This window comes from Homo sapiens, chromosome 1 (genome assembly GCF_000001405.40).
Source record: "Homo sapiens chromosome 1, GRCh38.p14 Primary Assembly".
In the NCBI taxonomy this organism is placed as follows: Eukaryota; Metazoa; Chordata; class Mammalia; order Primates; family Hominidae; genus Homo; species Homo sapiens.
This window is the reverse complement of record NC_000001.11, coordinates 203,656,557-203,684,247: the sequence shown is the minus strand read 5'-3', so window position 1 is coordinate 203,684,247 and position 27,691 is coordinate 203,656,557. Positions and strand designations below refer to the sequence as shown.

General features: G+C 47.3%; 1 protein-coding gene and 1 pseudogene across 4 annotated transcripts in view; one reads left to right on the top strand and one right to left on the bottom strand.

Moving 5' to 3' along the window:
- The window catches only part of ATP2B4 (ATPase plasma membrane Ca2+ transporting 4), a 117,250-nt gene that overhangs the window by 59,834 nt on the left and 29,725 nt on the right, over positions 1-27,691 (bottom strand). For all 4 annotated transcript variants that reach the window (NM_001001396.3, NM_001684.5, NM_001365783.2 and 1 more), the window contains exon 2: positions 850-1,506. In NM_001001396.3, the coding sequence (NP_001001396.1) occupies positions 850-1,042 (193 nt within the window). In that variant the 5' untranslated portion in view covers positions 1,043-1,506. The remainder of the gene's footprint in view (positions 1-849; positions 1,507-27,691) is intronic.
- NSA2P1 (NSA2 pseudogene 1) lies at positions 26,388-27,023 on the top strand (annotated as a pseudogene).

Below are 27,691 nucleotides of genomic sequence, written 5' to 3'. Positions count from 1 at the left end.
CCCACCTGCTTGGCCTATCATCCCATTTCTAACAGTATACAATAGAGAAGTGCTCAATTGGGCAGCTGGACTTATTCACTTTTTTGTACCCTTCCTTCCTCCATTCATTAAACTGTAAGATCAGTGTAGGGAAGAATTAAATTATTTTATAATCAGACATATAGAAGAACAGACTTGATTATTTACTGACAACAACATTTATAACATAAACATTTTAAAAATAAATATCCTCCTTTCTGGACACTGATACAGAAAAAGGAGAAAAGAGGGGTCAGGAGCAGTGGCTCACTGTGCCTGTAATCCCAACACTTTGGGAGGCCAAGGTGGAAGAATCACTTAAGTCCAGGAGTTTGAGATGAGTCTAGGCAAGATACTGAGACCTCAACTCTACAAAAAAATCTAAAAAGCTAGCTGGGTGTGATGGCACACACCTGTGGTCCTAGCTACCCAGCAGACTGAGGTAGGAAGATGGCTTCAGCCCAGGAGGTTGAGGCTGCAGTGAGCCATGATCACGCCACTGCACTCCAGCCTGGGTAAAAGAGCAGGACCCTGTCTCACCAAAAAAAAAAAAAAAAAAAAAAGAAACAAAAGAAGAAGAAAGAAAGAAAAGAAAAAGGAGAAAAGAATAATCTTTAGAGAATAGCACACTTTCTAAACATCATCTCTGGGAAAGATACAGTTCTTCATGGCCTGCCCTCCTTTCAGTGCTTCAGATGCCATACCTTTCCCACCAGACAAAAATATACCAGCTGGGCCTCCAGAAATGTGCCTTCTCTAGAAGCTGGGAAAACAATATTTTGAAACACTAGCCACCTTCCTCCAACTCCCCACCCCTGATATGGCCTTTACCTTCCACAGGGGAGGTTTTCAGTCTACTGCAGAGATTCTGTACACCTCCATAGTGGACATTAATCTGGGTCAGTGCATCCCTTGAACGCAGCTCCATGAGCTTCCTCAGTTCCATTACTGTGCAGCCAAAGTCCCCTTCACGGCTCTCGGCCATCGAGTTGGCAGGCAAGACACGGTCTGATGGGTTCGTCATTTTGCCTGCTGTTACCAAGCCCCTCAACCAGAGAAGATGTAGCGTTTCCCTTCAACTGACCAGTGTCTCCTGCCTCCCTGTCTCAACTTCTTCCTACTTCTTGCTTCTCTGGGGGCCCAGTGAGGGAATAGATTGAATATATCTTGTGCAATAAGCTCCCGAGTAGCCGTCCGAAGTCTAGATCCTTTCTTCCGTATGAAGTCTGGCAGCGAGAGGAGGAAGAGGATGGGGGAACTGAGTGGAAGGTGGACTCCGTGTCACGATGATTGGTGTCCCCAGGTGGTGATGATAGTAGTTGTCCAGGGTAGGTAGGTTCCTAGCTTAGACCAACTTGCCCAGATGAAGGTGTAAACAGGATGTGCATGTTACCATGGCAGCAACCTTAGCAACAACCAGCAACTGTAGTAGTAGACGTCAGGAGGAGGAAGAGGAGAGCTTCCTGGATACCGATGACAACTGGATCTCTGGAATAAAGGTTCAAAGATAGACAAAAAGAAACCATTAGAGCAGCCATAAGTATCCAGCATCTGCAAGGGCAAGAGGTACCCAGTCTAAGCACAAGGGTTTAAGTGACAGTTGAGATCTGAGCTGAACTGATAGCTAGGCCTGAGCTTAGAGAGCTGACTCAAGAGAGGCCCGTTCCTTCCTGGGAGGCCCCTGCAGCCTGTAAACTCCAATGTAGAGGAGTAATTTCAATACCCGAGTCTTCACGTCTCACCTCTCCCAACCAAGCAACATAAAACCCACAGCTTCAGAAACTTGGAAATAAATGGTTACGACCTCTGATGGCTCTAATGTTTTCCCTGTCTATTTGAGGGACCTGTGACAGGATCCTTTAGTCTGACCTTATCTATAAAAGATGAGAAGAGGTCAGAAAAAGGAGTTCAGATCTAAGTGATCTGAAGGGTGGCCTGTCAGTCTGCCTTCCTCTCCCACAACCCACACTCTTCCCACTCCCAACACACACATTTACACACAAGGAAGACAACTTGATAGAAGATGTCAAAATCTTCCAAAGCCCCTTAGAGTACTCAGCCTCCAGGTGTATGGAAATGACAACTTGATAGAAGATGTCAAAATCCTCCAAAGCCCGTTAGAGTACTCAGCCTCCAGGTGTACGGAAATTCTGCAGCCCGTGCAGGTGTCAACCTGGCCGGCACCAAGTTTTGTTCTGAGGCTAAGCTCCACCCTCCTCCAAGAGGCTTTTGGGGAGAAGAGGAGAGTAAAATGCTTTGGCAGTTGGTGACGCAGGGTGAACTTTTTTTTTTTTCTAGTAAAGGGGACAGAAGGACCTCTGAGGAGGAAAGATAGGGAGTTTGAAGCCTGAGCATTAAAGTTTCTCTGGAGTGGGAGCGGTAAGATACCTCTCAATTCAGATAGAGGATAGGGCCACAGCAAGGTTAGCAAGGGAGACAAGCTAGCCTGTGAGTGAGCACCAGAGTCTCACATCAGCTCAATAAAGGCACCAGAGAGAGGCCAGCATTTCTCCCCTCAGAAAGATGCATTACCTCTCACGCATGCTAACTAGGGGGTGTGGTGTAGGTGACAAAACGGAGGGCTGAAGGTGGGAAGAGAACTTATCCTGAGGCCCCTTCTCAGTTTCAGAGTGGGGCCGCTGTGTGTCATGCCACTGACAGGTGTCACTGCCACACATCAGCCTTTTAAATGTGAAGGGACTCTTAGCACAGCACCAGAACATGGGACCCCAGCCCCGGTTACGTAGTCCCCACTGACGACTTCAGTTACCAGGGGGTGGCAAGGAGCTCTGGCCAACCTCTCTGTAATAAATAGATGCCACACTTACTTCTAGAAGGTGAACAAAGAAGCACAAGAACCATCAGATAAGGGACTTGATTCTTTTATCAATGATCTCCTCCAAAGTCACATGTAGCCAAAGTCTTTGCCGATTCCTGACAATCCTCTTCCCAGAAGCTTCCACAGGGATGCAGGTTGATTTATACTCCTCCCTCTCCCAATTTGCCCTTTGCGTCCTCCTCGCCACATAGATTTTTAGCACTACTCTGACTTACAAAGAGTTAAGAAAGCAGGGCTCTATTTGTTTTTAAAATATCGTACTCCCTTCTTATCTGGGAAACAAGAAGATCCACAAAGAACCTGAGGCAATGTGTCAAACTCCCTTCATTCAGACTGGTATAGGCACAGGCAGGACCACAGAGTTTTCACCCCAGTTCAGCTTCTCCTCCAAGCCTGGAAGAAGTGGGAAGGGCTAAAGTAGCAAGAAACCCAACTTGACCCTTAAGTAGAACTCCTTAACCTTTCAAGAGGATGTTGGGAACAATGCTGATAGAGTGTTGAACTAGGAATCAGAGGATTTTACCTTTTCTGTCTTCACCCACTACAATGTTTGCTTCATGAAGACAGGGATGTTACTTAGCCTTCTCAGGACTCAGTTCCTTCCACCTTTAGTTGGGTAGAGAATGGGCCCTGTCTTTTCGCACCACCCTAAGAAAGTGATAAAGGAATGGAATTATAGAAATAGTGCTTGGAAATCTTAGATGAAAGGTATCCAGTGTCTGGAATAGGACACTTAAGTGATGGGAGAAAGCCTAATTTGATCTTTTTTTTCTTTTTTTTTTGAGACGGAGTCTCACTCTGTCGCCCAGGCTGGAGTGCAGTGGCGCGATCTCAGCTCACGGCAAGCTCCACCTCCCGGGTTCACGCCATTCTCCTGCCTCAGCCTCCCGAGTGGCTGGGACCACAGGCGCCCACCACCACACCCGGCTAATTTTTTGTATTTTTAGTGGAGACGGGGTTTCACCGTGTTAGCCAGGATGGTCTTGGTCTCCTGACCTCGTGATCCGCACGCCTCGGCCTCCCAAAGTGCTGGGATTCAGGCATGAGCCACCGCGCCCAGCCGCCTAATTTGATCTTAATGAACTTTTGTTATTAAGCCCTTTAAGTAGAAGAAGAACAATAAGCTCCATGTGCCCTTCCATCTTTCCTTGCCAGGGAACCCCCACCCCACCAAAAGAATGGAAAATTCTAAGGCAGCTTCATTAACAATAACCATTAGCTAGGTTATAACCATTAGCAATAACCACCAGCATATAGGGTCTTGGGTCTCTTGAGAATTAGAAAAGACAGTCTGAGTCAGAATTCCTTCCTTTTTTTTTTTTTTTTTTTTGAGAAAGAGTCTCACTCTGTCACCCAGGCCGGAATGCAGTCGTGCGATCTTGGCTCACTGCAACCTCCGCCTCCCAGGTTCAAGTGATTCTCCCGCCTCAGCTTCCTGAGTAACTGGGATCATAGGCACCTGCCACCATGCCCAGCTAATATTTTGTGTTTTTTTTGTTTGTTTGTTTTTGAGATGGAGCCTCGCTCTGTTGCCAGGCTGGAGTGCAGTGGCGCAATCTCAGCTCATTGCAACCTCTGCCTCCTGGGTTCAAGTGATTCTCCTGCCTCAGTCTCCCAAGTAGCTGAGACTACAGTCGCATGCCACCATGCCCAGCTAATTTTTGTATTTTAGTAGAGATGGGATTTCACCATGTTGGCCAGGATGGTCTCGATCTCTTGACCTTGTGATCCACCCCCCTCGGCCTCCCAAAGTGCTAGGATTAGAGGCGTGAACTACTGCGCCTGGCAGAATTCCTTCCTTACTTTGAACCTCTTTTCACAGTACCAAAGCGGAGAGATTCTTCCACTTCCATAGGCAACTGATGGAAAAGGTCGCATAAGATTAGAACACATGGGGCTGAAGAACACATGTGGAAAAGAATGAAAAGATTTGTTTGCCTCAGGCTTATCTAGAGAAACACAGAGTAGGTCAAGCGCTAAGCTGCTGGCACAAAGTCAAAAGGGCAGTGCAGAGTTGGGGCCTGAGGTTTAAGGTGGGATCGCTATAATACTAGGAAACATATCATGACGTCCCCACTTCTGTCTGAGTTTTGAACTCTCCGGAGTATGAGTTCTCTGCAACTGCTGAGCTTGCCTGGCCCCTAATCTGATTAGGCAACTGCCAAAGAATAATCTGAAGGTGCTCACACCACCTCAGCATCAAATGAACTGCTCAGACACCTGAAAGGTACTACCTCTTTTCAGGTAAGGGTTAGTCATTCGGCTTGGGGCATTCTCGGTAAGGTATGTGCTCCCTCCTCTTTTCTAATATTTTGCAAGCCTAAGAGATGATAGGATAGAAGAGCTAACTCTCTCATCTCTTCCTCCTAGGGCAAGAAATCATAATGCTTTACATGATCATTAAGACATTTTACTTTTTTCCTCCTAAATTCCTATAACATCTGTTCTATAATTTGTAGATGACGTGTGAAAGCATTGGTCATATCAATTCTAGTTAGGACAGCTGTGACCCCCACCTTACAGATGAAGATACAAAGGTACAGGGAGATAAAAAAGTGGTTTGGTCTTAGCAAGTCAGTGGTCTTGACTGCCTGGTGCTCTTTTTGTTACACTTTGCTCCTTCTCTTGAGCCTAAACCTCCTCATTTTCTGGCAAGCTTCTAAGAGGCCCTTTAAAAGGCAGGCATCTGCCAGGTGCCGTGGCTCCTGCCTGTAATCCCAGCACTTTGGAAGGCTGAGGCGGGAGAATCGCTTGAACTCAGGAGTTCGATACCAGCCTAGGTAACACGGTGAAACCCTGTCTCTACAAAAAATACAAAAATTAGCTGGGCATGATGGCGCACACCTGTGGTCCTAGCAAGTTGGGAGGCTGAGGTGGGAGGGTCATTTGAGCCTGGGAGGTGGAAGCTGCAGTGTGCAGTGAGCTGTGTTCATATCACTTAGTTTCAGCCTGGGCAAACCAAGTGGGACCCTGACTTCAAAAAAAAAAAAAAAAAAAAGCCTCTAGAAATGAGGAGCTGCCAGAGACAAGAACCTAAGTCACCAAAGTGTAAACACTAGTCAGACACACTTTCCTCCAATTTTGTCCAAGGAATCTTTTACTTTTAGCTTTCCCAGGCTGCTAAAGAAGAAATACATCCCCAAACTATGAGGAAAAAGAGTGATACCTTGTATAGGTTATAGAGTAGGGTATATTTGAAAATATGAAAGGAACTCACCCCCTGAGTCTCCCCGCTACTAAATGCTCCTATTGAATGTGATGTGATGCATAAAAATGGGAGAAAGGAAACAGGAGGGGCCCGGGGCTAGGGCTTCAGGCTGCTGCAGCACTGCAGACAGACCTGCCTGGAATAATAAGAGGCTCTGGTCAACTCTGGCTTCTGGGCTACAGGCAGGGGCTGCTCAGTGGAGCAGACACTTCCCTGCCCTGCCCTACTCTGTCCTTCCCCGATGGGCTGAGAGCCTCTGCTCAGGAGCAAGCCGGTAGCACTTGGAGATACTCTGGCAGGGGTGCCAGCATCACTGCCAGGCAGGACTTGATGAGTGAGGAAGGGAAGACCTCTGGAGAGGGGAAGCAGCCTGGTCCCACTTTAGAATGCACCCAGCTACAATATAAAACCTGCTTCAGGGCCGGGTGCGGTGGCTCATGCTTGTAATCCCAGCACTTTGGGAGGCCGAGGTGGGCGGATCACCTGAGGTCAGGAGTTTGAGACTAGCCTGGCCAACAAGGTGAAACCCTGTCTCTACTAAAAACAGAAAAAATTAGCTGGGCATGGTGGTGAATGCCTGTAATCCCAACTACTTGGGAGGCTGAGACAGGAGAATCACTTGAACCTGGGAGGCAGAGGCTACAGTGAGCCAAGATCGTGCCACTGCACTCCCGCCTGGGTGACAGCGAGACTCTGCTTCAGAAACAAACAAACAAAACCTGCTTTAGGAGTCCCTCAGAAAACCCGTAGTCTTTTTTCTGACCTAGAGTCAGTCTCCCTCATTCCAAGCGAGGCTCTACTTCTCCCTATACTCAGGAACAGGGATGTGGGATTGGGAGAGGTGGGAAGGTTGGGAAAAAAATATTTGTTGAGCACCTACCATGTGCTAGGAGTCATACTAGGTACTTCATATGAAAATTAGAAATTATGTACATACCCCTATGTATTATGTAGTGCCTGGCATAGTGGCTGGTCCACACACTGTAGCTATTATCATTCTTACATACACTGTTTCATTGAATTCTCACCAACAACCCTATAAGAAGGACCTCTCCTTCTTATAGCAGGGAAATATAGATTCAGAGAGCCAGATTTGTGCCCTAATCTGAATTCAAAGCCAACTTGCCTCAAGTGCAAGAACAATGATATAAAAAAAATGTAAACAAACTATGAGCTTACTTCCTAAACCTTGATGAGAAGGCTCACATAAACCCATCTGTCCCTTGTTCCTGACTCCTAAAGGCACTGAAATAGGTCAGGGAAATATCTACCTCTTGTAAACTTTCTGGGAAGGCATAGGGATAGACTCAAAGCTTTTTGGGAGCAGACACCCTCCCTTCCCCCTTGTCCTCCCCTCCCCTCACCCCACCCCCACCCCAAGCCAGAAAGCACTGGGCTCTAGATTGCTGTGAGTCCAAGCATATCCAATTCCTGCCTGGAGAGCCCAGTGGTGGGGATGAGGGCTTCCTCCACTCAGTCGTCTCATGCTCTTGGCCTTGCTCCCCCTGGTGATCTGGGAGAAGCACAGAGGGAGAACCTGCTCTGCATTCTCTCTCTTGTTTCCAGCAGGGCTGTTTCCTGTGCACCACCTTGGGGGGTTTAAGCTCTACTCCTTCTCTCTGGCACTCTTACGCTTCCAAAGGACAGTGCCCTATCAAGAAAGCTGGCAAGAACCTGACCATGGTAGGCTGCCTAGCCTAAAACATCCCTGGCTAGCCCTTCTCTCCGGAGGTGTGAATCTCAGGCAGAGGCTGTTCTGCCCGCCTCCTTATCACAGGCTCCTTATTTCCATGACCCAGATTCTAGTTCACCCTGGCCACTTCCAATCCCTCAGGTCTGGCAGCCATCCTCATCACAATCCCGGGTTCTTCCTCCCCTCCCCATGTCTGCCCTGCCCTAATTGCTCCTTAAATGCCAACTGGTTTGCAGAAGCAGACTAGAGCACATGCCCTCCTTCAGCCTACTGAGGCCCTTTGGAGGCATGGGAACAAGGTCAGAGGCAGCAGGTGTTGGCTAAAGTTCAGGTGGCGGGTGGGACCACTTGTCATCATCATCCGACAGCCACACCCAAGCCAGGAAGCCAGGTGAGGGCGGGCACACCAAGCCAGGCCTCTGGCCTCACCATGGGATAGTATACCATGGCCTGGTCAGGGAATCTGATGCTAATTTTCAGCTAGCCCCTAGAACTTAGCCTCCTGGGGGTGGGGTACTCCCTTCCTGAAGTTCTGGGTTCTGGTTCATGTCTCCTTTGCTCTTCCCTCTCCCCCCTATAGTCCTTCCAGGTTGCTAGTCTCTGCTTCCAGTCATCTCAGGACAGCCCCCTTTCCCAGAGACCCAAGGAAAGCCCACATCCTTTTAGTTTTTGAGAAAACAGACTTGAGAGGATGTCACTCGCAGGCTCAGTTCTCTCTTTCTGAAGATAGAACGCCACTTCCTGGTTAGGAGGTGGTATCCACGGGCCTCCCTCACTTACTTCCCCCTCTCCAAGTCTGCTACTCTGACAGCACCTTCTTCAATTCCACCAAAAAAGGTAGTACTAGAGTCAAAGCATCTAATCGGAGAAAACGTGTCACTCGTAGCCCCTGGGTCTCAGGAATCCAGAATTCATCCCTCCTCCCCAGAATCACTTGGTGCTTTTTGGTCAAACTACATCTATGCATGCTGTGGACCCAGTCATCTAGTCCTGGCTACATCTTCCAAAGAAATCCTCATCCAGGGCCTGGAGGGGGCATGTGCAAGGATGTTCACTGGAACATTATCTGTGGTGATCTGAGATCCAAAAAATAAAAATAAAATACCTCTCAGTCTTGGAGTGGCTGTGTTGTCTAGGATATGCTGTGCAGTGATAATGGTGGCAAAACTTACCAGTTCTGGTCAGATGCCTTCAGAAGGCAGGGAGAAGGTAGGACCCATAGATGACAAAAGCTTTCTCCAAACAGCGATACCAAGAATTGACCCAAGGTTGACAGCCTGATCCTGATCACCTGGTCTGCTAAGATCCAACCCATGTCACAGGTTTTAAGAACCACCAAGATGAAGACAGAAAGCTCCAGGGCATGGGTAGGGAAACAGTGTGGTGGGAGGAAGCAGGAATGTGCCTGGGAGGGCACGGCTGTCCCCCTGACCCCTGGCCACTGGCTCCATCTTGAAATGGCATCAGTATTATTAAGATGAGGCCAGGCGCAGTGGCTCATGCCTGTAATCCCAGCACTTTGGGAGGCCAAGGTGGGCAGATCACCTGAGGTCAGGAGTTTGAGACCAGCCTGGCCAACATGGCGAAACCCCGTCTCTACTAAAAATATAAAAATTCCATCCTGGCTAACATGGTGAAACCCCGTCTCTACTAAAAATACAAAAAATTAGCCAGGTGTGGTGGCACGTGCCTGTAGTCCCAGCTACTCAGGAGGCTGAGGCAGAAGAGTTGCTTGAACCCGGGAGATGGAGGTTGCAGTGAGCCAAGACTGTGCCATTGCACTCCAGCCTGGGAGACACAGTGAGACCCCATCTCAGAAAAAAAAAAAAAAAAAAAAAAAAAAAAAAAAAAAGCCAGGTGTGGTGTTGCACGCCTGTGATCCCAGCTGCACAGAAGGCTGAGACAGGAGAATCACTTGAACCTTGGAGGCAGAGGTTGCAGTGAGCTGAGATCGTGCCACTGCATTCCAGCCTGGGTAACAGAGTAAAACTCCATCTCAAAAAAAATTATCAAGATGAGAAAGGGCAGTCCCTTAGGCCCAGAGCCTTGGGAAAGCCAACCTCTTTCAAATTGTGTGAGTCACACTGGCCTGGGTCACCTCTGTGTCCTCCAGTGACTCAGAGGATGTATGGGGTGGAGGTAGGGGTGTTCACAGCAAGCTAGAGCTCAAAAAAATGTAGAGGATGAAACAGCAGCGCTCACCATTTCCTTCAGTTGTTTAAGGAGGACAAGAGCCACCTTCAGGTGGAAGTGACAATGCCATCTGGAAGGTCTGTTTAACAAAAGGGGTACTGGCAGCCTCTCCTGACCCCGTTCACTCAGGATAAGGGTTAGCAACGATAACTGCTACTCACTCCTCAGAGCTGCGGCAGGAAGCTTCTAGGCCACAGACAGGACGCAGCCCTCCGGCAGCAGCATTCAAGTATTTCGTATATGCACTCTCTTGGACTACACAGACTGTCTTTCTTGGGGCTGCTGTGGCTTTCCATATTTTGGTTTCAAGGGAACAAAGGGGCTTTTTAGCAGCTGGATCGGATCCTAGGTTATTTTTAGAAACGAATTTCAGCAGAATCATGTCATGCTTATGGAGAGGGGTCATCTCCCTGGGCTACCGGGTCGGGACCTGGTTGTTCCCAGGCCTCAGGATCTGGTGGAGTCCTCAGGACAAGGGGGAAGAAGTTGCCTGGCCACAGACTGAGGAGGCCACATCTCATCCACCAAAAGGGAGCACCAGGGGCAGCTGCTCTGTCCCCAGACGCTCAGCAGGAGAGGACTTAAAACAACATTCCTGTGTGGCCCAGATACTAGTCAGCATGTCCCATACTGGTCATCAGGCCTGGCTGCTCCCATTCCCTTTCTCCACTCTGACAGTCTCACCTGTACAGAGTACAGAGAACCTCCCATCCCCGCTTTACCTATTCCAGCCTTCTCTGGGCTTATTTCCTGGAAGTCACAGGCAAATCAGCGAGGGCTCCATGCTGAAAAGACAGTGCTTATTAAAAAAGGTGGCCAGGAATGATCGCTAATAACCTGCCACCCCTCTGCGCCTGTTTTATTCTTCCTTGTTCACATATTGCACAGACAGGATCCATTCAGTCAGCCTAGGCCTTTGGAAAGCGAACTGATCATGCTTCCTTGCACTTGAGTAATGTTTTAGAGCTGTGGTTCTCAAACCCAGAGTGAGCACTAGGATCCTCTGGAGAACTGGGGCAAACCTATTGGGCCCCTCCCTGCCAACTCCTGAGTTTCTGGTGCACAAGAACGGAGGTGGGGCCTGGGAAGGTGCACTCCTAACAAGTTCCTTAACAGGGTGAGCTGATGCATCTGGTCTGGGGACCACACTTTGAAAATGTTGCGAGGTTCCAAAGCATTCCCATGAACCCCTTCAGCTCCAGGCTGACATGGGAAGGCACAGGAAGATCTTGCCATGTGTCTCCTTCACTCTTCCCTCTCCCTCTGCTAGTCCTTCCAGGTTGCTGATCTCTGCTTCCATTTATCTCTGGGCAGCCCCCTTTCCCAGACAGAGCCCTGAAAAAGCCCACATTTTTTTAGTCTTTGAGAAAACAGACTTGAGAGGATGTCACTCAACAGGCTACAACAGAAGCCAAGGTCTATTCGAAAAGTTAAAACAAGCCACCTCGTGAGGTTCAGAGGGACACCCAGGCCCCTTTCAGGTTCCAGTGGAGCAAATCCCCTCCCAGCCCTGTCTTCTATCTCCACAGGAGATGAGCGATGCTGGGGCCCATACACAGATGAGGGGAAAACAAAAACAAAAGACATTCGCTGCTCACTTTGGCTCCCAAAACATTACTGCCCCTGGTTGCCTCTGGAACCCAGGCTGCCGTTCCCCTGCCATCCCCCACGGTTCCAGAAGAAGCACCAGGCTCACCGCCTCCATAACACCTCTCAGGGAGCGCCTGCCCACTGCTCCGAGGCCAGGGCGGCCAGCAGCAGCTGCTGGTTTCCAGGCCAGTTGACAAGCTGTTATAAACAGTCGCTTTAGGTTGCTATGGCAAAGCGAGTGTGCAGCCCAGCGACGGTAAAGCTATTTATGTGCCTGTAATGACAGAGTGGTCTGTTTTTTATTATTTTACTTTTAAAGTTTTCTTTTCCCAACCCCCTAAATCAGCTTTAAAAAAAAAAAAAAAAAAAAAAAAAAAAAAAAGAGCCACCGCAACTTACTCAGGAACAAAAACAGGATAGCCAGAAAATAGAGCCTATGACTTGAGCCAGGAAGGGGAAGATGGAAGCAAGGAGTGTGGGTGAGCTCCTTTCCAAAAGGGAAGGTGCGGCCTCTGGCCATGCAGGCCTCTAATCACTTAGGAACCAAAGCCCTGCCTCTGGCTCAGCTCCTCAAGGAGAAACGCCAAACCCCAGGGTCTTCTCACCTCCCTGCACTTATATTACGGATAAGAGACAAAGCCACTTTGTCTTCTTGCTCTAACAGCAGCACTCCTCCCTCCCCCCAGCCCCCACCAGCTGCCACTATCAAGGGAGGAAGACATGGAGGATTCACCAGGTGTCGTGGGAGGAGAGCTTCGAAGCCCCCATCCCCTCTGTGGGTAGCAGTGCCACCCAGGCAAGGAGCCTGCTCACTCTAGCTGGAGGGTTGCAGAGAACAACCTCTAGAGGTACCTCTGAGGAGACACGTGTTTCCTCCACTTCTACAGAGAACTTTCATCCAATCCTTTCTCCTTAGCTTTGGGGTGAAGGGCTACTTCTGCATAGCAAGACCCAAGATTTTAGTCAAGGTGGTGAGGACCCTTAGTCAGCATCACAGAGTCAGCATGCAAGGTTCAGATGCTGATGGATGAGTAACAGTGCAGCTGATTCCTCCCTAGACACATATGTCTCGGGCACCAGAGACGTGGGAAAGGTTTTTGGCCGAGGGGTTAGGGAGTGATCAGAGGTCAGTCTGCATCTATTCGATGGAAGTACTATGGCCCTCTGCCTTGACTCCCTCAACCAAAAATAAAATAGCAAAGAAGAAGAGAAATAAGGGCCATAGGTGGTTCAAGATGGGCAGGAGAGGCAGGTGCGGTGGCTCACGCCTATAATCGTGCTCTTTGGGAGGCTGAGGAGGGAGGATTGCTTGAACTCAGGAGTTTGAGATCAGCCTTGGCAACATAGTGAGACTTATTTTTTTTATCTAAACAAAATAAAGAAAAAAAATGAAGGTCAAGAAAGTGGGAGTCACAAGTCAATGTGGTAATTAATCACAGGCATGCACACACTCACATACACACAACTGAGCTGAAAGCGTGAACTGACTAATAAATATGCTATAGGTCGTCAATCACTAAACAACATGTGAGTAAGAGAAAGAGTCACCTTTCAGAAACAGCTAGTTGGAATATAAAGATGCTGCAGGAATTTATCAACCCCTTCTCCCCACCTTATTCCAGCTTCTTTTGGATTGGTATACACTTATTAGGAGATTAAAAACCTCTTACTGCCAACAGACACATTAACCAGATAAAAATAAAGTTAGGGCAGTGTTAAAAACAGCAAATTGCATAGACTGTTCCATTTCCTCCCATCTCATATGATAACTGAATGTCTCCCAGATGCCACCATGGCTCAGAAAGGATATAGATGAGAACACTCCCCACGGGGAGGAGAGAGGGCAGGAGAAGGGGGAAGACACTGATGCTCCCATCAGGGAAGCACCCTTCTGGTGCCCCAGGAGAGGTTAAAGTCCTAACTGACAGCCCTGGTTAGCTCATAAGCTCTTGTTGGAGAAATCAGAACTTGGGATAAAAATCAGTCTTGGCAGAACCTTGAGGTCAGAAGAGCAGAGCAGGCATCACTTCTAAACCTGTCAAACCAACTATCATCAGCATCCTAGTTCCTATAGGGTGGGAAGGGAGAAGGGAGAGGTGAGGAAAGAGTCCACAGATGAAAAAGGTATAGTCCTGGACTGTTGGGTGTAGGCTGATGGAAAAGTACTAACTATGAATTAAGGTTCCAGATAAGCTGTGCTTCTCTTCCTAGGTTAAGAGTATGAACTCGGCCGGGCGCAGTGGCTCACGCCTGTAATCCCAACACTGTGGGAGGCCAAGGCAGGTGGGTCACCTGAGGTCAGGAGTTAGAGACCAGTCTGGCCAACATGGCGAAACCCCGTCTCTACCAAAAATACAAAAATTAGCCACCTGTGGTGGCACACACCTGTAATCCCAGCTACTTGGGAGGCTGAGTCAGGAGAATCACTTGAACCGGGAAGATGGAGGTTGCAGTGAGCTGAGATCGTGCCACTGCACTCCAAGCCTGGGTGACACAGTGAGACTCAATTAAAAAAAAAAAAGATAAAATAAAAAAGAGTATGAACTCAAGCCGAGTGGCCATTACTTGGGAATACATAAAAAGACAAAGAGAGATGCAGACATATTTCAGTGTCCCAAGGTAGAGTGAGCTTCCAAAACTCATGGACTAGAAAGAACATCTATTCCAAAGGGCTCGCATCCACAGTGATGGACACAGGGCTCATTGTTGAAAGAGACAAAGGGCAGGCAAAGAGGTGACTCAGCCCCAGCTGGTCATTGTTGATGGAAGTCTCTCAGGGGAGAGAAAGTGGAGAGTATTGTGTATTTTTCTTCCAAGTGAGCAGAAAGGTTGTGTCATCACCTCTCTATCCCAACCTCAGCTCCAGAGCCTGGCCTAACCTGTGCAATTAATGAATGAGCCACCTCTCTCTGTTCCATCCAGTGTGCTTCTGTTTCCAAGGGAAGGAAAAGTATGAAAGTCCCAGAAAGGGGCCAGGAACGGTGGCTCACGCCTGTAATCCCAGCGCTTTGGGAGGCTGAGGTGGGCAGATCACCTGAGGTCGGGAGTTCGAGACCAGCCTGACCAATATGGAGAAACTCCGTCTCTACTAAATATACAAAAATTAGCAGGGGGTGGTGGCACGTGCCTGTAATCCCAGGTACACGGGAGGCTGAGGTAGGAGAATCGCTTGAACCTGAGAGGCAGAGGTTGTGGTAAGCCGAGATCACGCCATCGCACTCCAGCCTGGGCAACAAGAGCCAGACTCCATCTCAAAAAACAGACAAACGAACAAACAACAACCAAAAAAAGTCCTGGAAAGGGATCCAGTCTCCAGAGACAATCAGTAAGACCCAGGCACCACTCCTTCAGCACTTGCTCCATCTGCCCACATTCTTTGCACCTTAAAATTGGCAGACTGAATGAATGGTTGATGGCACATCTCCCTTGATCTGCAGGACACAGTCACAGAGGTTTTGGTGCAGATAGAAGGGGAATGAGCCATCACTGAAGGAATCCATCTACTCTCTAGGGAGAGGCAAAGGTGAACACAACCCAGTTGATTCTAAACTCCTATACATACCACTTTAAACACCACTTCAACCTCCAAGGCAAAACCTGGAAGAATGGTGGGATGGTGGTCGGAGGTTTGTAGGAAGTGAAAAAATAAGATATTTTCTAGATTATTTTATTTCTAAAGCCCTAAGCTACCAAGATCATAAGAAGAATACCTAGCACCAAACTATTTCCACCTCCCCATTTTTCTCTATACCTCATTCCCAAACTTCTGACTTTATTATCCCATACTTATGTGTATCCCTTCCCCTACCTCCTTCTCCCCAATCTATCTGTCTATTTCAATCTCTCAATCTCTCTCATTCTCTTTTCCCACATCTCCAGGGACAGCCTAATTGGATTGATCCTTGCCTGGATAATTTCTGAAACCAATCAGTCCTGTCCTAGTCCACAGTGGCTCACACAGTGGAAGGAGCAGGAATGTGCTGAAAAGCAAGTCAGGCACTTGTGGGGCTGCCACAGCCAGCACCAACCCAGGACCCATCTGTGTCACTGGGGTCACGGATGATGGGTCAAAGGCATGTGGGACCAGATTCCATGAGCCAATCTGCATTCTCCCCAGTCCATCTGGAGCTTGCTTGTCTAAGTCAAATATTTATGTGGGAACTAACTACATTGGAGGTAGAGATAAACAGTTAACACTGAGGACTCTAGGTGGGGGAAGGGGAGGGATAGGAGAATATTCCCATGGATTAAATACAAAAGTCAGTTATAGTAACTATAGCCATCTAAAAAATGAAAAAAACAAAACAAAACACCAAAGTCAGGATGTAGTATGCTCAGCCAAGCTCCCAATCTAGCATAAATAGGGGAGTGGCTTGATGGAGGCAGAAGACTAGACAGATTAAAAAGGCACTACAATCTGACCCTGGCTCCTTTCAGGGTTCCCAAAGAAGCTGACCACTCAAGAACTGAACACAATAAGCTAGTCCTACCCAACTACAAGCTGCAAGATGGCTCCACTGTTCCACCTCCGTTCCACTCTGAGCCTACAGAGCATGGTGGGGAATAGACATATGGATGCTAAAATCCAACCCCTGGTGACAGGCTGCTTTCTTCTCTCTTTCCCCACCACTACACAAGGATTCGCAGAGGAGGAGTAGCATCACACATCCTATCCAAGCAGAGTGAAACTTTCATAGGCATCTCATGCTATTTGTTTCTGCAGAAGATTGCCAGAGCAAGCTTTCCCCCAGTTCCTCCAGTCTAACACACCCTGGCCAGCTGTTCCAAATTAGCAAGATCTTCATCACCAGAGAGGGATCTTTTTCAGTGTGGTGGGGAGGGGGTCACTTTCCTCCCTTTAGGGTTCCTGTCACTGGGCCCTCTCTCTGTAAGCAGCCAAGTCCTCAGAGAAGCTGAGGACACGCCAGGCTGCTGTCTTCCCTCCCTCCTCCAATGGCCAGACCAAGAAAGAGAGCTCGCCTTCATGCGGGGGAAGTCCCACGGCAGTGAGGCTATGGAAACTTTGCCGTCTAAGGCTGTGGAATTCTTCCACTGGGCTCCTGCAGTTAATCATCGCAGCTCCCTGGATTCCCAACTTTGGGCTTTAAAAGGTAGCACCCGAGCAAGAAGGACAAACATATCGAGGAGAAGAAAGAAAAAAAAGTTGGTGTAAGCGAAAAGATAGCTACCTCCAACACTAGTCTACTGAGTAACTGAGCAATTGTGAGAAGAGGAAAGAAGAAAAGAGCACAGGAAAAATAAGTATAGGCCACACTCCAGAACCTTACTCCAGACTGCCAGCGAATGCTGCCCATATCCACTCCCTAGAACCTACAGGGAACATTGCTCCTTTGCTAATGTACTTGTAGAAGGATTATCTAGGGTTGCTTTGTTTGAAACTTTCTCCTCTCAGTAGATCACGGGCTTCTGTCCCCCTTTGGAAAAAAGTGCTAGAGGCAGGGCACAATGATTCACACCTGTAATCCCTGCATTGTGGGAGGCTGAGGTGGGCAGATTGCTTGAATCCAGGAGTTCGAGACCAGCTGGAGCAACATGGTGAAACCCCATCTCTACAAAATATACAAAAATTAGCCAGGCATGGTGGTGCGCACCTATAGTCCCAGCTACTCTGGAGGCTGAGGTGGGAGGATCTCCTGAACCTGGGACGCAGAGGTTGCAGTGAGTGGAGATGGCACCACTGTACTCCAGCCTGGATGACAAAGTGAGACCCTATCTTAAAACGAAACAAAACAAAAGCAAAAAGGTGCTAGAGAGCTCACAATTGTGAGTACACAGCACTGAAATATTAACTTCCAAGATGGTCAAAGTGGCTTCTTAGGCCAGGTTGTCATGGTTTCCAAGACCACAAACAGAAGTTTGGTTCAAAAGAAGGGCAGGAAGGGAACTGCCTTTTTCTTCCTAAGGGAATAGTTTCAAGAGCCAAGATAAGAGGGGGATATGGCAAAAGGAAGAGAAGTTTCCATAACAGGGCAAAGAAAATGGACAGTCTTGAGAGTTCAATTTTTCCTGGTGAGCATAGGGAGAGAGGCCTCATTTGTAGGATTATAAGGCCCTATTCAGATGGTGAGATAAACCTAGGAGGTTAATAGGAAGAGGAGTCAGCTTTCTACTATGTTAAATGTCCACCCAACAAAACCTAGGAGGCACGAAGAACGGGGGCCAAAATTAAGCTACTTTGGGAAAGCGAAGGCCCTCCAAAGACTCTGAGTTTTGCCTGAAAGAGGGCAGATGAGATAATTATCCCCAGAAGTGATGTGTGGAGGTGCTGTTTCCAGAATTGAGGCCTGCCTTGCTGTCCACCTCCTGCAGGTCCCCTGGTCAGGACCCTTTCAACTCTCATTTCAAAGGAGCCAGATGGAGAACATTGTAAGAAACCAAAATGCTACCATTCCTCCCAGCAGGAGCTGTCAGCTGAGTGTGGCCACCTGGCCCAGGAATTCCCTTTCATACTCATGGGCAGTTCTCTGTGGCTTATGAGAATCCCCTTGGATGCTTCCTCCTGAGCTGGTGCCAGCTTGGAAAGGAGACAGAGTTGCTCACCGCTCTGCTCTACCCAGAAGCAGCAACTGTGGCACCACTGTAGGTTAATTACCACGTATGCTCCACCACCTTCTCAAAGCAGGTAGGCTGACCACAAGCTAGGAGGCAGGTCAGACCTGTCACAATTTTATCACCAGTAACAATACTAGCCAGTAAGTTCCTGGTCTTTTCAGGGAGCATGTCCTCTGCTTTTCCCACCAACTACATCAAACAAGAATCCCATAATCATAGCCACGTAGATGGAAAAGTCTAAACAAATCCCCTCATTTTACATTTAAGCATGTATTAGCAAAATATTGTGCTGAGCACTGGATAAAAAGGCTACACAATTTTTTTTTTTTTTTTTGAGATGGAGTCTAGCTCTGTCACCAGGCTGGAGTGCAGTGCTGTGAATCTCGGCTCACTGCAACCTCCGCCTCCCGGGTTCAAGTGATTCTCCTGCCTCAGCCTCCTGAGTACCTGGGACTACAGGCACGCACCACTGTGCCTGGCTAATTTTTGTATTTTTAGTAGAGACAGGGTTTCACCATATTGGCCAGGCTGGTCTTGAACTCCTGACCTCGTGATCCGCCCATCTTGGCCTCCCAAAGTGTTGGGATTACAGGCGTGAGCCACCGAGCCCGGCCAAGGCTACACAATCTTGACAGGAAAGCAGGACAGGGGCAGAGACACCTGAGGCAAAGAAATCTGTATTGGGTGTCAAAGGAAGGGCAGAAACATCTCCCACGCCTGCTAGCCTGTGCCTACCCAAAACCTCTAGGGTTTCCCCTGCTGCCAGCTTGTGGCCATCAAGCTGCTGCAGGAGAGAGCTCATCACAGCGTGGGCCTCCCACTAAGGGCTCACCCTGAGCAGAGGGGAACCTTCTCTTTTCAGAGCTGCTACATACAGTCAGGTAGCATGTGCCCTGAACATGGGCACCAGGTAAGGAGGTGGTTTGGGAGATGAAATCCACCCTAAGTTTTGCCAGATGGGCCTTGCTCCTGTGGGCTATATTCACCTTTCTAAAATCTTTAAAAGTACCTTAAGGGCCGGGTGCGGTGGCTCACGCCTGTAATCCCAGCACTTTGGGAGGCTGAGGTGGGCAGATCACGAGGTCAGGAGATTGAGACCACGGTGAAAGTCCATCTCTACTAAAAACACAAAAAATTAGCCAGGCGCGGTGGCAGGCGCCTGTAGTCCCAGCTACTCGGGAGGCTGAGGCAGGAGAATGGCGTGAACCCGGGAGGCGGAGCTTGCAGTGAGCCAAGATCGCGCCACTGCACTCCAGCCTGGGTGACAGAGCGAGACTCTGTCTCAAAAATAAAATAAAATAAAATAAAAGTACCTTAAGGACTAGCAGGTGCAGTTAACTGTCAACCTGGCATTCCCTTGGGTCACCAAATCCTGAAAAATATCTAAGGAAGAAAACCAGTAGTGAATCCAGTTTGACATGGGGATGCACCAGAGCCAGAGCTGAAGATGTCAAAGTGGCCAGCCCCGTGGGGCCCCTGCACCCGGGCCAGGCTCCTGCCCCTCACAGCTCACAGGCTCTCCCATGAAGTCCTTCCCAAGTAGCACCAGTGCCTCTCAGCCAAACCTCCTCCAAATCCATTCTCCCTGAGCCTTCATTTCCTCATCTAAAAAAATGGGGATCAAAAAGTCATCTACCCCATACCAAAGTTGAAAGGATTATTACTTTTTTCATGTGCAAAGGCCCTTGCCCTTGGATGAAGATCAAGTATCTTAAGAAGCCACTGAACAGTGGAGGCAAACTGCTCCTGCCCCTCTGTCAGAGCCTCCCCGTGCCTCTGGCCACCGTGTTCCTATACTTTCCAGTCCTGGATCTGGACCCTTGGCTCTGTGTACCAGGAGGACATTGGTACTCCCCATTCCCAGACTTCTCCAGAATCTCTAATTTTTGCAGCTATATCTGGGGAATCTATCTGTCTGAGGTTCCTTTTTAAGTGGTGTCAGCAAGACTAAGTAAAAAGACAGAAAGAGTTCATGAGAGTAAAGGAACTCTGTTAAGAACTCACATGTGGATAATGCTTCACAGTTTTCAAAGCACTCTGACATTTGATCTTTGCAACAATCTTTTAAGATAGACAGGACTGACAATATCATTCTTTGACAGATTTTAGAGCATATGGTCTTAAAGGTGAAGTGACTCACTCAGTTAAGGCCATGCAACCACAGGAAGAGCCTAGAAGAAGCTAAGGCATACTCCATACTACAAGGTCCTAAAAGAAATTGGAGAGAAGAGGCTGGGCACAGTGGCTCATGCCTGTAATCCCAGAGACTCAGGAGGCCGAGGCAGGAGGATCGCTTGAGGCCAGGAGTTTGAGACCAGCCTGGGCAATACAGTGAGACACCGTCTCTACAAAAAATAAAAAATTAGCTGGGTGTGGTAGCATGTGCCTGTAGTCCCCACTACTTAGGAGGCTGAGGAGGGAAGATTGCTTGAGCCCAGGAGTTTGAAGCTGCGGTAAGCTATGATCACACCACTGCACTCTAGCATGGTGACAGAGCAAGACCTTGCTTAAAAAAAAAAAAAGAGAGAGAGAGAGCAGCCTGTAGAAAATAGTGGGATAATTCTAGGCCCAACCCAGGACATTGGAGCTGGGGATTCCTGTCCTGATGAGCTCAGAGGATTAATATAGGTTCTCCTACTTCCTCTCAGAGGTAACAGTGAGACATGCTGAATGTATGTGTGATGTGTGTGTGTGTCATTCTTCTTGGCCATGGGTACCCTGAGAGTACAGTTTGTGGTCTAGATGGAGGCGGTACACCTCCTGGTGTGTTGTGGAGGTACAAAAGGGAGGAGAACAAAAAAGGGTGGAGGAAGATTAGAAAAAGAAAGGAAGAAGGCTCTTTCCCTTAGGGAATTCCCAGTCCGCAGAATTCTAAATAAAGAAGACAGGATACACCCATATTAAGAAGGCCTATGATTATAGTACAGCACATCCAGAAATATTGAAGTGCATCAGGACCAGGAAGGACAAAGACTGACAAGGGGAAGAAATGCAAAAAACAAAAGCAAACACAAACCCAAAAAATATAAACAGGAAACAAAATGTTGCTCTACAGTCTCTAGACCCTTTAAAGGCCTTCAGCATTGAAAGGAGGGAATCTCCAGGGTTAACAATAGGGTCTTTCCCTAGGAAGGCAAGCAAATGCAAGGTTCTGGCCCCAGATAATCACTTCTCTCTAGCTAGCACTTCTGGGTTCAGGTGATGTCATGCGCATTAAGTATTTGTCGAGAAAAGAGACCTCTGGAAGAGTAAAACCTCAGGACAGAGTTTATAAACAGCACACTCAATTCCACCTGCCTTCCACTATCTGGGAGAGTGACCCTCCTCAGTTTCCTGCTACAAGGAAAGAGTAGGCTATTCTCTTCATATTACTGCAAATTATGATATACCCAAAAAATGTGATTTAAAAAAGGAGGGCCTCCATGGGCAGATGAATGGACAAACAAGTGTGGCACATCCATACAATGGAATTATTATTCAAGGAAGGATGTTCTGACACATGCTGCCACACGGATGAACCTTGAAAACATTATGCTAAGTGAAATAAGCCAGTCACACACACACAAACAAATACAGTATAATTCTATTCATATGAAGTATGTAGAATAGGCAAATTCATAGAGACAGGAAGTAGAGTGGAGGTTACCACAGGCTGGATGGAGTGGGGAATGGGCATTATTGTTTAATGGGTACAGAGTTTCAGTTTGGGATGAAGGAGAAGTTCTAGACATGGATGATGGTGATGGGAAACCTACACTGGGAATGTAGTTAGTACCACTGAACGGTCTACTTAAAAATGGTTAAGATAAGCTGGGAGCGGTGGCTCATGCCTGTAATCCCAACACTTTGGGAGGCTGAGACGGGTGGATCATGAGGTCCGGAGATCGAGACCATCCTGGCTAACACGGTGAAACCCTGTCTCTACTAAAAATACAAAAAGAAATTAGTCGGGCGTGGTGGCAGGCACCTGCAGTCCCAGCTACTCGGGAGGCTGAGGCAGGAGAATGGTGTGAAACCCGGAGGCAGAGCTTGCAGTGAGATCGTGCCACTGCACCCCAGCCTGGGCAACTGAGTGAGACTCCATCTCAAAAAAAAAAAAAGGTGAAGATGGCAAATTTTATGTTCTGTATATTTTATCACAGTAAAATAAATAAATAAAAATAGGAGAAGGAAGAAGAGCAGATGGAAGAGTCATCCTGGTATAGACAGGTGAGAAGGGTGGAGAAGGGAAGAGCAGAGCTAAATTCCAGATGTGGACCAGCAGCTGCTGTCACCGAGAGTTCAGATCCATTGTGGTAATGGAGGTGGAGGCCAGTGGGGCACAGGTCAGTCACCACAGACACGCCCAGGGCTGGGAGCCCACACAGAGCCTGGCACAACATCAAAGAACTCAAGGGACCTGGCAAAGCTGAGTGACAAGGCAAAGGGGTGGAGAAACAGACTGGGCTTTCTGAATACCATGCAGCATGCTTGTGTGTGGTAGGAGACAATGGTGGGAGTGCATTGAGGGTGGTGGGCATAGGGTAGACAAATCACCTTTTCAAAGAGCAGGAGAAAGGCATCTGTGTTCATCCTCTCCTCTCCCAAAGTCACCCCATCATCAGCTCAGAGAACACAGGCACCTGGTTACAGCAGGTACAGCTAAGGCTTTCCTGACCCAAGATGGGGAACTAAGTCTCCAGGCTTTTTGATCACTCTGTATTAGTATCTCATTTGATCCTCTCAACAACCTTGGGAAATGGGTCGTATCACTCCCATTTTACAGAGGAGAAAACTGGCTAAATACTTTGTCTAGGCTCACACAGTAAGAAGCCAAGCCAGAATCCAAACCCGACTTTGGCAGAAGCCACACTTTTTTCATAATATTGCCTTTGAGGTGCTTTCCAGACATGAGAGCTCTCTTTCTCAGTGATCATTCACCTCTTAAAGTATGGTGCAGAGATTAAGAGCATAAGCTCTGTGGACAGACAGCCCAAATCCCAGATCACTACCCATTTGACCTTGGGAAAGTTTTTTTTTTTTTTAGACAAAGTTTCTCTCTTGTTGCTCTGGCTGGAGTGCAGTGGCGCGATCTCAGCTCACTGTAACCTCTGCTTCCTGGGTTCAAGCAATTCTCCTGCCTCGGCCTCCCAAATAGCTGGAACTAGAGGGCCACCCCACCATGCCCGGCTAATTTTTGTATTTTTAGTAGAGACAGGGTTTCACCATGTTGCCAAGCTGGTCTCGAACTCCTAACCTCAAGTGATCCGCCTGCCTCGGCCTCCCAAAGTGCTGGGACTACAGGCATGAGCCACCGTGCCCAGTCCCTGTGCTCTTCTTCTTATTTATTTATTTTTTTGAGACAGAGTCTCACCCTTGCTAGGCTGGAGTGCAGTGGTGCGATCTTGGCTCACTGCAACCTCCGTCTCCCAGGTTCAAGCAATTCTCCTGCCTCAGCCTCCCAAGTAGCTGGGATTACAGGTGCTCACACCATGCCCAGCTAATTTTTGTATTTTCAGCAGAGATGGGGTTTCACCATGTTGGCCAGGCTGGTCTCGATCTCTTGACCTCACGATCTGCCCACCTCGGTCTCCCAAAGTGCTGGAATTACAGGCGTGAGCCACTGTGCCCAGGCCTCCCCCCACCCCCCACCTCCGTTCTCTTCTTACTGCTCCCTAGGAGCCTATTCATCGGCTGTTACATTGAACTGGGACCTCATTTTTTATCTCCACCACCCCAAGTGATACATTCTCACCCCAATGGCGTGCATTCTCACGATCTTCCAACCTACTACCTTTTGTGATAGCTATTTTTATCCTCTTTCAACAACTGAAGGAACTGAGGCCTAAAGCTCTGCAGTTAACTTGTGGTGAAACTGGACCATAAACCCAGGTCCAAAAAACTCATGGTCTTGGCTGTTACATGATGTTTTGGCATTAGAGAGAAAAAATCTACCACATGGTAAAGGGAAAAGTAGCTTGGGTTGAATTTCAAATACTTGGATTGGAATCCAAGCTCTGTGACCTTGGACAAGTTTCTTTCTTTCTTTCTTTCTTTTTTTTTTTTTTTTTTTGAGATGGAGTCTTGCTCTGCCGCCCAGGCTGGAGTGCAGTGGCACAATCTTGGCTCACTGCAACCTCCAGCTCCCAGGTTCAAGCGATTCTCCTGCCTCAGCCTCCCGAGTAGCTGAGATTACAGGCACCTGCCACCACGCCCGGCTAATTTTTGTGTTTTTAGTAGAGACAGGATTTCACCATTTTGGCCAGGCTGATCTTGAACTCCTGATCTTGTGATCCACCTGCCTTGGCCTCCCAAAGTGCTGGAATTACAGGCGTGAGCCACCACACCCAGCTTTTTATATATTTTTTTTAGCAACAGGGTCTCACCCTGCCAACCAGGCTGGATGGAGCAATCTTCCCGCTTCAGCCTCCCCAGTAGCTAGAACTACAGGCTTCCCCCACATGCCTAGCTAATTTTTATTTTTATTTTTTGAGACAGGGTCTTGCTCTGTTACTCAGGCTGGAATGCAGTGGCATGATCAGAACTCACTGAAGCCTCAGCCTCTGGGCTCAAGTGATCCTCCCACCTCAGCCTCCTTTGTGGACTACAGGGGTGTGCCACCATGCCTGGCTAATTTTCAAATGTTTTTGTAGAGACAACGTTTTGCTGTGTGGTCTCGGCTGGTCTCAAACTCCTGGGCTCAAGTGATCCTCCCACCTCTGCCTCCCAAAGTGCTGGGATTATGGGTGTGAGCCACTGCACCTGGCCAGAAACTATAATTTTTAAATACCTGCTTTGGGCTTGTCATTCTGACATATATTACATGAAATTATAAAGATTAATGATTCAAAGTGATTAATACAAGAGCTACTCAAGAAATGGTAATCTTTATTATTTTCTTCGATATCACAACCATAAATTTTTTTTTAACTGACACATTTTCTATCATTTTCATTTGTGTTTCCTTTTCATTTTTCTTCCCCTCTGCTAGTTTGGAAGTTATATTATACCAAGTTTTTTAGTATTAGCCTAGAAATCTTAACATAAAGACTTCTAATAAGCAATATCTTTAATTTTTTCCCTAGAAAATATAAGGACCTTAGAACACTTAAACTCCAATTACTATATTCACCTTCTAATTTTTTTTTTTTCAGACGCAGTCTCACTTTGTCACCCAGGCTGGAGTGCAGTGGCGCGATCTCGGCTCACTGCAACCTCCACCTCCTGGGTTCAAGCAATTCTCCTGCCTCAGCCTCCTCAGTAGCTGGGATTACAGGCACACACCACCACGCCCAGCTAATTTTTGTATTTTTAGTAGAGACGGGGTTTCACCATGTTGGCCAGGCTGGTCTCGATCTCCTGACCTTGTGATCCACCCGCCTCAGCCTCCCAAAGTGTTGGGATTACAGGCATGGGCCACCATGCCTGGCCTTACCTTCCAATTTATATACTATAGTTACTGAGGATTTAAATTATATCTTCATTTTATTCCTATCAATTAGACATTGTTATATTTCTGATATTTCTTGTCTTTGACATCAATATTTAGATTTCACTCCATGTTTACCATTTTATTTGCTCATCATCCCGTCTTCGTTTCTTTTTCTTTTTTTCTTTTTTTTTTGAGACAGGGTCTCCCTCTGTTGGCCAGGGTGGAGTGCAGTGGCGCCATCATAGCTCACTGCGGACTGAATCTCCTGGGCTCAAGTGATCCTCCCACCTCAGTCTCCCAAGTAGCTGGGACTACAGGCCTGCATCATCATGCCAGGCTTTTTTTTTTTTTTTTAATTTTTATTAGAGATGAGGTTTCTCTATTTTGCCCAGGCTGTTCTTGAACTCCTGAGCTCAAAAGATCCTTTCATCTTGGTTTTCCAGAGTGCTAGGACTATAAGGCATGAGCCACAGTGCTCAGTCCATCATCCCTTCTTGAATCTTAGACTTTCCTTTTAGTACAGGCATACCTTGGAGACATTGCAGGTACGATTCCAGACCACTGCAATAAGGCAAGTTCCTGGTTATTTATTATTGTTTTGGTTTCTCAGTGCATATAAAAGTTATGTGTACACAATACTATAGTCTATTAAGTGTTTTTATGGTTAAAAAACACAATGTGACTACCTTAATTAAAATATATTTTGTGTTAAAAATGCTAATGATCGGCCGTGGTTCACGCCTGTAATCCTAGCACTTTGGGAGGTTGAGGGGGGCGGATCACTTGCGGTCAGGAGTTCAAGGCCAGCCTGGCCAACATGGTGAAACCCTGTCTCTACTACAAATATTTTTAAAAAAGGGTGACCCTTTCCTGTCCCGGCCTGCGTGGAGTCTCTGAGACCTTAAAATTGAGAGTGTTTTCGCACCTCAGGGGCTACTCCTGGTGGTTCTGCGCCTGTCACCATGCCACAGAACGAATATATTGAATTACACCATAAACACTATGGATACCGTTTGGATTACCATGAGAAGAAAAGAAAGAAGGAAAGCTGAGAGGCTTATGAACGAGAGGCTCATGAACGTTCAAAGAAGGCAAAGCAAATGATTGGTCTGAAGGCTAAGCTTTACCTTAAACAGTGTCATGCTGAGAAAATACAAATGAAAAAGACTATCAAGATGCATGAAAAGAGAAACACCAAACAAAAGAAGGATGAAAAGACTCCACAGGGAGCAGTACCTGCTTATCTGCTGGACAGAGAGGGACAATCTCGAGCCAAAGTACTTTCCAATATGATTAAACAGAAATGAAAAGAGAAGGTGGGAAAACGGGAAGTCCCTCTGACTAAAGTACATGCCCAGGGAGAAACAGACGTATTAAAAGTTGTTTGAACAGGAAAGAGAAAGAAGAAGGCATGGAAGAGGGTGGTTACTAAACTCTGCTTTGTCGGAGATGGCTTTACAAGAAAACCACCTAAATAAGAAAGACTGATCAGGCCAATATGCATTTCAAGAAAGCCCATGTATTACATCTTGAACTGAAAGCCACCTTTTGCCCACCAATACTTGGTGTAAAGAAGAATCCCTCATCCCCACCGTATACAACTGTGGGTGTTATTACCAAAGATATTGTCATTGAGGTAAATGTGAGCGAATTGGGCCTTGTGACACAAGGAGGCAAAGTTATTTGGAGAAAATATGCTCAGGTTACCAACAGTCCTGAAAATGATGGCTGCATAAATGCAGTCTTACTGGTTTGACAGCAATTTCATATATAATTATTGGGGACTACACACCAACTGAAAAAACTGCCATTACTGTAATGTTTCTACCAAACAGCCATATATGTCTGCAATCAAGAGATTTATTACATTGTAAACATTAAAATGGTCCAGTTTTATAAATGGTCTTTGTTTTGAAATCTGCTTAGACCCCATGTTCATAAAATTGAATGATTGAAAAAAAGCAAATATACAAATATCCTACTTCATCAATATCTGCATTTATGCGTGGGTATTCAGCAATTTCCTGAAAAACCACCAGTTCCGTTGAAAATGCCTTTCAAAAAGGTTAATACACACTTAATTATGTGTCTGAGAATTTAAATGAAGTATCTTCTACCTCGTTATTCATTAATCCTAAAAAGACAGCATTAATACAGATGTTAAGT